At 37.4% G+C, this 12,265-nt stretch overlaps 1 protein-coding gene across 46 annotated transcripts in view; it reads left to right on the forward strand.

Annotated features, from left to right (window-relative positions):
• RPS6KC1 (ribosomal protein S6 kinase C1) overlaps positions 1–12,265 on the forward strand; it is an 811,495-nt gene that overhangs the window by 57,194 nt on the left and 742,036 nt on the right. For 42 of the 46 annotated variants that reach the window (XR_007058661.1, XR_007058662.1, NR_146210.2 and 39 more), the window contains one exon: positions 8,883–8,976. The exons of the other annotated variants lie outside the window; for them this stretch is intronic. Coding sequence is in view for 12 of the 42 variants with exons in the window: in XM_047417936.1 (XP_047273892.1) it covers positions 8,883–8,976 (94 nt within the window). In the remaining 30 variants the exon portion in view is untranslated. The remainder of the gene's footprint in view (positions 1–8,882; positions 8,977–12,265) is intronic. 46 annotated transcript variants of the gene reach the window in all.

Raw genomic sequence — 12,265 nt, forward strand, 5'->3', positions numbered from 1 at the left:
TAATCTACGTGCCTGTCTTATCCTAGAACCATACTGTCTTGATTACTGTAGCTTTTTAAGTATTGAAGTCAGCTAGTGTAAGTTTGCCTACTTTACTTTTTCAAAATTGTTATGGCAATTTTGAGTTCTTTGAACTTCCATAAAAATTTTTAGTGGCAGCTTATCCATGTGAACAAAAAATTCTCATAGAATTTTAAAATTATTTTATTATTTTACTTCTTTTTTTTTTTTTTTTAAAGAATTGGGGTCTCACTTTTTTCACCGAGGCTGGGATGCAATGGCACAATAATAGCTCACTTTAACCTCAAACTCTTGGGCTCAAGGGATCCTCCCACCTCAGCCTCCCAAGTAACTGGGACAGGAACCACCACACCCAGCTTATTTTTAAATTTTTTTGTAGAGACAGGTTCTCACTGTGTTGCCCAGGCTGGTCTTGAACTCCTAGCCTTAAGTAATTCTCTTGCCTCAGCCTCCCAAAGTGCTGGGAATACAGGTGTGAGTCACCACACCTGGCTGAAGGTATTGGAAACACCTGCTAAAATCCTTCAGTTTGATGCTCTCCCAACTGAGTTATTTTGGCTTGCTCCTCAGAATTCTGATTAGAATTGTATTGAATCTGTAGTTCAGTTTGGGGAAAATTGTCATTTTAACAATATTATCTTGCAATCCATGAAAATGAAATGACTCTATATTTATTTGGATATTCTGTAATTTCTTTTTGAGACGGGGTCTCGCTCTGTTGCCCAGGCTGGAGTGCAGTGGTGCCATCTTGGCTCACTGCAAGCTCCACCTCCCGGGTTCATGCCATTCTCCTGCTTCAGCCTCCTGGTTAGCTGGGATGACAGGCGCCCGCCAGCACGCCTGGCTAATTTTTTTGTATTTTTAGTAGAGACGGGGTTTCACCATGTTAGCCAGGATGGTCTCAATCTCCTGACCTCATGATCCACCTGCCTCGGCCTCCCAAAGTGCTGGGATTACAGGCATGAGCAACCGTGCCCGGCCCGATATTCTGTAATTTCTTTAAGCAATGTTTCATAATTTTCAGGGTATAAGTCTGGAGCTTCTTGCCTTAAATTTATTTGTAAGCATTTTAATCTTATGATGCTGTTTTGAATTAAACTGTTTTTTTTTCCATGTAGTATTATGCTTTAATGGTTCATTCATGTTGTAGCATGCATCAGTACTTTATCCATTTTTGTGATTATGTAATATTCTTTTGTGTGGCTATGGATATACTACATTTTGTTTATCTACAGTGTGTGTTGGTGCATATTTGGGTTGTTCCCCTTTTGGCTATTATGAATGGTGCTGTTATGAATATTGACATACAAGTTCTTGTGCAGACAGGTATTTTTGTTTCTCGTAGGTATACCTAGGAGTGGAATTTAGGTGGGAAGTTTTTTTTTTTTTATTGGAGATTTAGAGGGTGTGTATGTATGTACATATATTTATGTTTTTAAGGTTCATCCAGGTTGTAGCATGTATCAGTAGTTCATTCCTTATTATGGCTAAATAATAGTTCATTGAATGGATATGAATATACCACATTTTGCTTATCCATTCATTAGTTGATAGACATTCAGATTGTTTTTGCTTATGGCTGTTATGAAAAATGCTTCATTTGATCCTTTTTTATAATTTTGATTTATTTATATTTGCTATTTTATGAGTCATAGTCCTTTTAATTCTTTAATCATGTTTTCCCTTGATAATATGAACATATTTTTAATAGCTGCTTTGAAGTTTTTGCCAAGTCCAACATCTTTGTTCCCTCACAGATAGTTTCGATTGACTGGTTACCTCCCATGTTTGGGTCACATACTTTCCTGTGTCTTTGTATGTCCTGTAATTTTTTTTTGTTGGAAAATCTATATTTTGGATAATATACGATAGAACTCTAAGTTCTGATGTTTTTTTTCTTCCTGAGGATTCTTGCCATTTTATGTTAGTGTGTTTAGTAACTAATACTTTTTGTTAGTGTGTTTAGTCCATAGTAAATCTGTGGAGTCCATTTCCTGTGAAGTGTGTGACTGCTGATATCTCTGCCCAATATTTAATTCTAATTTTATTTTTAAGCCAGGCTATATAGGGGTTAGACCTGTGTCAGCATAGCTTTGTGGTCAGCCAGTGCTCGGTCATTGCTTGTGCTTAAACACCTGTGCCATTATATGCTTTCCTTTTAATGCTGATGATTTTTTAATGTGTTTTCAAAGTCTCAGCTGTTTTAAAATTTGCCCTGGCTTTTACTTTCCTCTGAAGTCTTGAATTTCCTCTGTGCCTGTGCACTGTCTCATGGTTTGCCAGGTATTCGTGGATAGCTTGACCCCTCTCTGGTCTCTACACAGATGGGTAGTGAGCTTTATGAAGACCCCCTGTGGCTGTGTTATTTTCTGGATCTCCCTGCTGTCTGGTCTTTTCCTGACTGCAACTTCAGGTGTGCTGAGCCATCACTTTTCCTTGCCATATATTTGGCCCTGAGATTGCTACTATTATTGACAATATTTGGGGTGGATTTTTTTTTTTTTCTGTGCTTCAATCCAAATCACATTAGCCTCCTCAAAAGTGAACCTGCTGGTTTTCAAGACTTGCCTTGCCCTTATATAATTACTGTGACCACTCAGCTGGGATGGGGGTTGGGAGGAACTGAGGCAAGAACATCACAGACGTCCATAGTTCTTACCTGTGGTTCTGTGGTTTCTCGGTAACCACTCTTTCATTTGCTTTATGCTTTTAGTCAATTTCCAGAGCCCTCAATGGTGGTTTTGACAGATTTCTCCAGATTTATAATTGCCTTTTGGGGAAAGCATTTGCTGGATCTCCTCACTTAACTATACCAGAAGTCCTTCCCTGCTAGACTCTTCATTAACAGAAAAACTTTGAGATACTATATATCCCAAAATTTCTATGAAATTTTTTTACTGCATACTCAGAAACACCTAAAAGGTTATTTTTGAATTAGAAGTTTAAAATTAGGATTGTGGCATTATTTTACTGCTACATCCCTCTAGTTCCTGTATAACAGTTTTTGTTGTGTTTCATTAAATATTTGTTCTTTCCTATTTATTTTTTATAACAGTGTTTGTTAAACTAGGTAAATAAAATATTTAGGATTATGAGCTAAAACATTTTGCATTTTAAATTTTATCTTACAAGAAGATCTTATGTCAACTAATAATAAACATTTATTGAGTGCCTACATTGTTCTAAATACTCTGTGTGTATTTTTTATTTTGCATGAAATATGTAAAATAAAATAATGTCTTAGTTAGAAGACATTTTATAGGTCGGTAACTTAAATCGCACACCTAGTGGTAGAAGAGGTAGTTAATAGTTGAAAGATACTTTGTTTTAACATTAACTTTATCTTTTGACATTCTCTAGAATACTTGGAAATCTTGATTTGGTTTGGATATTGTTTAAAAGATGGCTTAGTCTAGAATAGATATTCTTTTTGGAGAAAAGTTCAAATATAAGCTGTAATCTGAATATTGTAATAAAGTGTAGAATAAAGTAATACAAATTGTCGCTCCTAAAGAGAATAATCATTTTTAAGGTTTTAGTTCACATAACACTAAGGGAAGTAAAATGTGGTAATTTGAGAGGGACCATTTCAAATTTCTGTTCCTTAAAAACAAGCTGACAGAGAAGGGACTTCTGATTAGGTAAAGATAGTAATTGAGTTTTTTTTGTGCTGAAGTAGAGAGGAAATGGGGGCTTGTAATTCTTTTGAGCTTTATTATTCTGTTAGTAGTGTTTGGAGGCATAGAACTGTTGGTAGAAGGTAGAGGGGAAGGTATTAAGGAGCAGAAGAGCTATTGTTTTAATTATTTAAGGATTATAAGCTCTTCTATTGTGATTGGAGCATACATAAAGCTATAGCACAGCATCATACCACCACTACTTGTCTGGTGATATCATTCTCTAGCTGCATGTAGAGTAAGATTAACTTTCTGAGGCGTGAATTTGCAAACCTAAATAGGGAATTAAAATGATAGCCACATAGAGAAATCAATTTTATATTTATTTTTTATATCTTTAAAAAATATCTCTACTAAAAGTACCTTAATTTTTTTTGTTTTACCTATATTGTATACAAGTGGTTCTCAAACTTTTTTTTTATTTTTATTTATTTATTTATTATTATTATACTTTAAGTTTTAGGGTACATGTGCACAATGTGCAGGGTAGTTACATATGTATACATGTGCCATGCTGGTGTGCTGCACCCATTAACTCGTCATCTAGCATTAGGTATATCTCCCAATGCTATCCCTCCCCTCTCCCCCCACCCCACAACAGTCCCCAGAGTGTGATGTTCCCCTTCCTGTGTCCATGTGTTCTCATTGTTCAATTCCCACCTGTGAGTGAGAATATGCGGTGTTTGGTTTTTTGTTCTTGCTATAGTTTACTGAGAATGATGATTTCCAGTTTCATCCGTGTCCCTACAAAGGACATGAACTCATCCTTTTTTATGGCTGCATAGTATTCCATGGTGTATATGTGCCACATTTTCTTAACAGTCTATCATTGTTGGACATTTGGGTTGGTTCCAAGTCTTTGCTATTGTGAATAATGCCGCAATAAACATATGTGTGCATGTGTCTTTGTAGCAGCATGATTTATAGTCCTTTGGGTATATACCCAGTAATGGGAAGGCTGGGTCAAATGGTATTTCTAGTTCTAGATCCCTGAGGAATTGCCACACTGACTTCCACAATGGTTGAACTAGTTTACAGTCCCACCAACAGTGTAAAAGTGTTCCTATTTCTCCACATCCTCTCCAGCACCTGTTGTTTCCTGACTTTTTAATGATTGCCATTCTAACTGGTGTGAGATGATATCTCATTGTGGTTTTGATTTGCATTTCTCTGATGGCCAGTGATGGTGAGCATTTTTTCATGTGTTTTTTGGCTGCATAAATGTCTTCTTTTGAGAAGTGTCTGTTCTTGTCCTTCGCCCACTTTTTGATGGGGTTGTTTTTTTCTTGTAAATTTGTTTGAGTTCATTGTAGATTCTGGATATTAGCCCTTTGTCAGATGAGTAGGTTGCGAAAATTTTCTCCCATGTTGTAGGTTGCCTGTTCACTCTGATGGTAGTTTCTTTTGCTGTGCAGAAGCTCTTTAGTTTAATTAGATCCCATTTGTCAATTTTGGCTTTTGTTGACATTGCTTTTGGTGTTTTAGACATGAAGTCCTTGCCCATGCCTATGTCCTGAATGGTAATGCCTAGGTTTTCTTCTAGGGTTTTGATGGTTTTAGGTCTAACGTTTAAGTCTTTAATCCATCTTGAATTGATTTCTGTATGAGGTGTAAGGAAGGGATCCAGTTTCAGCTTTCTACATATGGCTAGCCAGTTTTCCCAGCACCATTTATTAAATAGGGAATCCTTTCCCCGTTGCTTGTTTTTCTCAGGTTTGTCAAAGATCAGATAGTTGTAGATATGCGGCGTTATTTCTGAGGGCTCTGTTCTGTTCCATTGATCTATATCTCTATTTTGGTACCAGTACCATGCTGTTTTGGTTACTGTAGCCTTGTAGTATAGTTTGAAGTCAGGTAGGGTGATGCCTCCAGCTTTGTTCTTTTGGCTTAGGATTGACTTGGCGATGTGGGCTCTTTTTTGGTTCCATATGAACTTTAAAGTAGTTTTTTCCAATTCTGTGAAGAAAGTCATTGGTAGCTTGGTGGGGATGGCATTGAATCTGTAAATTACCTTGGGCAGTATGGCCATTTTCACGATATGGATTCTTCCTACCCATGAGCATGGAATATTCTTCCATTTGTTTGTATCCTCTTTTATTTCCTTGAGCAGTGGCTTGTAGTTCTCCTTGAAGAGGTCCTTCACATCCCTTGTAAGTTGGATTCCTAGGTATTTTATTCTCTTTGAAGCAATTGTGAATGGGAGTTCACTCATGATTTGGCTCTCTGTCTGTTGTTGGTGTATAAGAATGCTTGTGATTTTTGCACATTGATTTTGTATCCTGAGACTTTGCTGAAGTTGCTTATCAGCTTAAGGAGATTTTGGGCTGAGACAGTGGGGTTTTCTAGATATACAATCATGTCATCTGCAAACAGGGACAATTTGACTTCCTCTTTTCCTCATTGAATACCCTTTATTTCCTTCTTCTGCCTAATTGCCCTGGCCAGAACTTCCAACACTATGTTGAATAGGAGTGGTGAGAGAGGGCATCCCTGTCTTGTGCCAGTTTTCAAAGGGAATGCTTCCAGTTTTTGCCCATTCAGTATGATATTGGCTGTGGGTTTGTCATAGATAGCTTTTATTATTTTGAAATACGTCCCATCAATACCTAATTGAGAGTTTTTAGCACGAAGGGTTGTTGAATTTTGTCAAAGGCCTTTTCTGCATCTATTGAGATAATCATGTGGTTTTTGTGTTTGGTTCTGTTTATATGCTGGATTACATTTATTGATTTGCATATATTGAACCAGCCTTGCATCTCAGGGATGAAGCCCACTTGATCATGGTGGATAAGCTTTTTGATGTGCTGCTGGATTTGGTTTGCCAGTATTTTATTGAGGATTTTTGCATCAATGTTCATCAAGGATATTGGTCTAAAATTCTCTTTTTTTGTTGTGTCTCTGCCCAGCTTTGGTATCAGGATGATGCTGGCATCATAAAATGAGTTAGGGAGGATTCCCTCTTTTTCTATTGATTGGAATAGTTTCAGAAGGAATAGTACCAGCTCATCTTTGTACCTCTGGTAGAATTCGGCTGTGAATCCATCTGGTCCTGGACTCTTTTTGGTTGGTAAGCTATTGATTATTGCCACAATTTCAGATCCTGTTATTGGTCTATTCAGAGATTCAACTTCTTCCTGGTTTAGTCTTGGGAGAGTGTATGTGTCGAGGAATTTATCCATTTCTTCTAGATTTTCTAGTTTATTTGCATAGAGGTGTCTGTAGTATTCTCTGATGGTAGTTTGTATTTCTGTGGGATCGGTGGTGATATCCCCTTTATCATTTTTTATTGCGTCTATTTGATTCTTCTCTCTTTTTTTCTTTATTAGTCTTGCTAGCTGTCTATCAGTTTTGTTGATCCTTTCAAAAAACCAGCTCCTGGATTCATTAATTTTTTGAAGGGTTTTTTGTATCTCTATTTCCTTCAGTTCTGCTCTGATTTTAGTTATTTCTTGCCTTCTACTAGCTTTTGAATGTGTTTGCTCTTGCTTTTCTAGTTCTTTTAATTGTGATGTTAGGGTGTCAATTTTGGATCTTTCCTGCTTTCTCTTGTGGGCATTTAGTGCTATAAATTTCCCTCTACACACTGCTTTGAATGTGTCCCAGAGATTCTGGTATGTTGTGTCTTTGTTCTTGTTGGTTTCAAAGGCATCTTTATTTCTGCCTTCATTTTGTTATGTACGCAGTAGTCATTCAGGAGCAGGTTGTTCAGTTTCCATGTAGTTGAGTGGTTTTGAGTGAGTTTCTTAATCCTGAGTTCTAGTTTGATTGCACTGTGGTCTGAGAGATATTTTGTTATAATTTCTGTTCTTTTACATTTGCTGAGGAGAGCTTTACTTCCAAGTATGTGGTCAATTTTGTAATAGGTGTGGTGTGGTGCTGAAAAAAATGTATATTCTGTTGATTTGGGGTGGAGAGTTCTGTAGATATCTATTAGGTCCGCTTGGTGCAGAGCTGAGTTCAATTCCTGGGTATCCTTGTTGACTTTCTGTCTCGTTGATCTGTCTAATGTTGACAGTGGGGTGTTAAAGTCTCCCATTATTAATGTGTGGTAGTCTAAGTCTCTTTGTAGGTCACTCAGGACTTACTTTATGAATCTGGGTGCTCCTGTATTGGGTGCATATATATTTAGGATAGTTAGCTCTTCTTGTTGAATTGATCCCTTTACCATTATGTAATGGCCTTCTTTGTCTCTTTTGGTCTTTGTTGGTTTAAAGTCTGTTTTATCAGAGACTAGGATTGCAACCCCTGCCTTTTTTTGTTTTCCATTTGCTTGGTAGATCTTCCTCCATCCTTTTATTTTGAGCTATGTGTGTCTCTGCACGTGAGATGGGTTTCCTGAATACAGCACACTGATGGGTCTTGACTCTTTATCCAATTTGCCAGTCTGTGTCTTTTAATTGGAGCATTTAGTCCATTTACATTTAAAGTTAATATTGTTATGTGTGAATTTGATCCTGTCATTATGATGTTAGCTGGTTATTTTGCTCGTTAGTCGATGCAGTTTCTTCCTAGTCTCGATGGTCTTTACATTTTGGCATGATTTTGCAGTGGCTGGTACCAGTTGTTCCTTTCCATGTTTAGCGCTTCCTTCAGGAGCTCTTTTAGGGCAGGCCTGGTAGTGACAAAATCTCTCAGCATTTGCTTGTCTGTAAAGTATTTTATTTCTCCTTCACTTATGAAGCTTAGTTTGGCTGGATATGAAATTCTGGGTTGAAAATTCTTTTCTTTAAGAATGTCGAATATTGGCCCCCACTCTCTTCTGGCTTGTAGAGTTTCTGCAGAGAGATCTGCTGTTAGTCTGATGGGCTTCCTTTTGAGGGTAACCTGACCTTTCTCTCTGGCTGCTCTTAACATTTTTTGAATTTTAAAATAATAGTCTATTTCTAGGGCAGTTTAGGTTTATAGAAAAATTGTGCAGAAAGTACAGAGTTTTCTCATATATCTCTTCTTCCTCCCCAGCCCCCAGTTTCTGCCATTAAATATCTTGGGTTGGTGTAGTACGTTTGTTACAGTCGATGAGATATACCTATTGTTTTTTTTTGAAAACACTTGTCATCTAGTTTAATAGATTAGTATAGTCGTTTCTGTACATCTTTACACATACTTAATTGGGATAACTATTTTTTATTTAGTGTTGTTTATGCTCTTAATGCTAATGAAACACAATTGCTCTTATCTCTTTAGGGTGGAATAATTAATGATAGTTCTGAATTAATTGGTCCTGCTGAAGCTCACTCAGATTCCCTCATTGATACCTTTCCTGAGTGTAGTACGGAAGGTAAGAGATTTTAATTTTTTTGCATTTCAAAGGTTTGGATTACAGAAGACTATAAATCATATCTGCATTGCAAAAAGACAGATGTATATAGGAATTTGAGGGTATTTCACTGATTCTAAGATGCTTTTTTTCTTTACATTTTATTATCACTGATGTTGGGTGCATGATATTGGGTCAGGCATATCTCATATTTAATTGGCAGCTTTTTTTTTTCATAGTGGTATATAAAATAATGATTCATCCTCCAATTAATGGTATCTTAGAATTGATGAAATATGGTATAATGAGTAGTTCAGAATTTGTATTGTCTAGTGTAAGAAGGCCTTACTTGGCCAGGCATGGTGGCTCATGCCTGTAATCCCTGCACTTTGGGAGGCTGAGGTGGGTGAATCACCTGAGGTCAGGAGTTTGAGACCAGCCGAGCCAACGTGGTGAAACCCTGTCTCTACTAAAACAGAAAAATTAGCTGGGTGTGGTGGCAGGCATTTGTAATCCTAGCTACTAGGGAGGCTGAGGCACAAGAATCGCTTGAACCTGGGAGGTGGAGTTTGCAGTGAGCTGAGACTGTGCCACTGCACTCTAGCCTGGACAACAAAGCAAGACTTTGTCTCAAAAAAAAAAAAAAAAAAGCCTTACTCATTTCTTTAGCGCATCTGACTTTTAGAGAACTAATTTCAAGACTGGCTTTAGAGATTTAGTCATTTAGCCACAAAGAATAAACCCTAAGGCAGTTTTAATGTTTTTGATATGTTTTTAAATAAAATGAGTCTAAATCAAGTTTTAATCACTTTCATTCAAGAATGCTTAATCTCTTGTTTTATTCTTCTATTAAGGTACACTTGAATTTATACATTTCAGCCTTTGGATTTCTGTAACTAGTTTTTTTTCAGGGAAGGTTACGGAAAAAAAAAGATTTGGGGGCAGGGGTAGGAGGGATTTTTAAAATCAAAATAGATAATTAGATTTGTTTTAGGTGGCTTAGGTTTGGTTTATTAAAGGTAAAATAATAAACTAAATAATATTGCTTATCTCTTTCATGAGTAAGAGTTTATGGTGGAGGAGGATGCTTTATGAGGATGAGGTAGCCATCATCTCATTGTAGTGTTGTTTTTGTGAGGGTATGTACTCCTGTCATACAGCAGCAGCCACACTAACATAAATCTCTTGCAGTAAATTTCCATCGTGATTTGGTAAGAGCAACGTGTTCTTATTTATTATGTGGGCTGGTGCACTTAAGTTTTTTTTTTCTTTTGGTACTACCGTATTGAGAAGTGGTTAGCTTTTATTCTTTTTCATTGTACTTTCCATTGACTTAGCATCTATTTATTTAAACTTAGTGTTCTGTGTAATGCATGGGGGCCACATGCCCAGGGGTCTTCACTGAGTTCTCAGTATCTTTGACTCCACCCTGATTCTGCCAGGGTCATAGAAAAACATTGTTGACAGTAATTTTACTTTATAATCTATTATTTTTTTTGTGTGTGTGTCGGGGGCGGTGGTGGTAAAATATCTGTTCTTTGTGACCTATTTTAATCAGAGATCCTTGCGAAGGTTTGGAAAATCTAGTCCCTGCTTGGGATCCCAATGTGATTCTAATAGAACCAGTTTCCTCGGAAGGTGACTTTTCTGTATAACCTAAGCTGGCTGTTGCCTCAGTTTCCCTACTCCTGAGAAAGAGGAGTGCACATTTTCCACCTGATTCCATACTGATTCTGTGAGAACAAGTAGGAGAGTTAGAAATATTTGTAGGAGAGGCTGGGCATGGTGGCTCACGCTTGTAATCCTAGCACTTTTGGGAGGCCAAGGCAGGCGGATCACTTGAGGTCAGGAATTTGAGACCAGCCTGGCCAATATGGTGAAACCCTGTCTCTACTAAAAACACAAAAATTAGCCAGACAAGGTGGCTGGTGCCTGTAATCCCAGCTACTTGGGAGGCTGAGGCATGAGAATTGCCTGAACCATGGGGGTGGAGGTTGCAGTGAGCCAAGATCACGCCACTGCACTCCAGCCTGGGCATATATATATATATATATATATATATATATATATATATATATATATATATATATATATATATATATATATATATGAGAGTATTCAATGAGGAGTGCAATAGTCAGAAATGCAGAATGTTTCTTTTCTCTATTTTTTTGATACAAGAATCAAAGGTTCTGTGATATGGGAGTAGTTATATTCTTCTGATATCTATAATAAGCTTCTGTTACTAGGTGGGAGTCAACCATGGTGAAAGAACGGTATCTTAGGAGCCTATTTTAGTATAAGGCAATCATGGATGCAAGCTCTGCAGAGATCTTTCTGTTCTTTGCTGTAGTCTAGGCCAGAAAGGGAGAAGCATGATTATTAGGAATGAGGTTTCTTGGGATGGTATTCTAAAATACTGATGCTGTTCAAGGTGAACAGATGGCTGTATTAATGCTAAAGGAGACACAACCTAAAGCTAGGGTGAGCATGTAGTTTATTCTCCAAACTGGGACACTTCTGAGAATTATAGACAGTGCTATTAATAATTATACCAAGACCACAAACATGACACAGGACAGCCTCAGGCAAACTGAGCTGTAAGGGTGACCCTTCCTAAAGCAGTTGTTTCAGAGTTTACCTCTGAAGTTTCAAAAAGATGTGTTTTCTTTGGAAGGATTTATCTTTTAGGAATGTGCTTTTATGAGAGAAATTGGGGCTAACATTTCTGTCAAAAACACGGAAAATGACTTATGACATCTAAAAGGAATATTGACATTTTATCCTGTCAGTGCGGTTTAGTTTTTCAACTATGTTACCATCTCTGAAACACACTGTGATCCATGAAGAATGAAAACCATGGAACTGGAAATGCTGTTAATGGTTATGTTGTTTTTCTCCCCTCCCTTTAAAAGTTGCATGCCTGGCAAATTAATCCTGCTGAAAGATATTAGGTTGATAAATACAGATAGATCAAAGTGTCAGACAGCTTGCAAATTCATTGTTATTTGAGAGGGAAAATGGCTTTTAAATATCGTAAGATTGTTTGGCATAGTGGGAAAGTGGAAGATTTACTTCATACCAAAAGGTCTGCAAACTCTGGAGACAACCAGGGAGAGGAACATCTAGTAGCAAAAGAGCAGGAAAGCCAGCAGCCAGCCAAGCCCCACAGGTACGCAGTGAAATGGAGGGTTGTTAGAGGGATCGTGGTGACAAATGCTTGTGTTTTGGATTTAGAGCTAAAATGTGAGGAAGTGATTCACCCCATGAAAACTTCTCTAAATGTACTATTTTAAGCCATGTTTTAAAG

This window comes from Homo sapiens, chromosome 1, assembly GCF_000001405.40.
Source record: "Homo sapiens chromosome 1, GRCh38.p14 Primary Assembly".
In the NCBI taxonomy this organism is placed as follows: domain Eukaryota; kingdom Metazoa; phylum Chordata; class Mammalia; order Primates; family Hominidae; genus Homo; species Homo sapiens.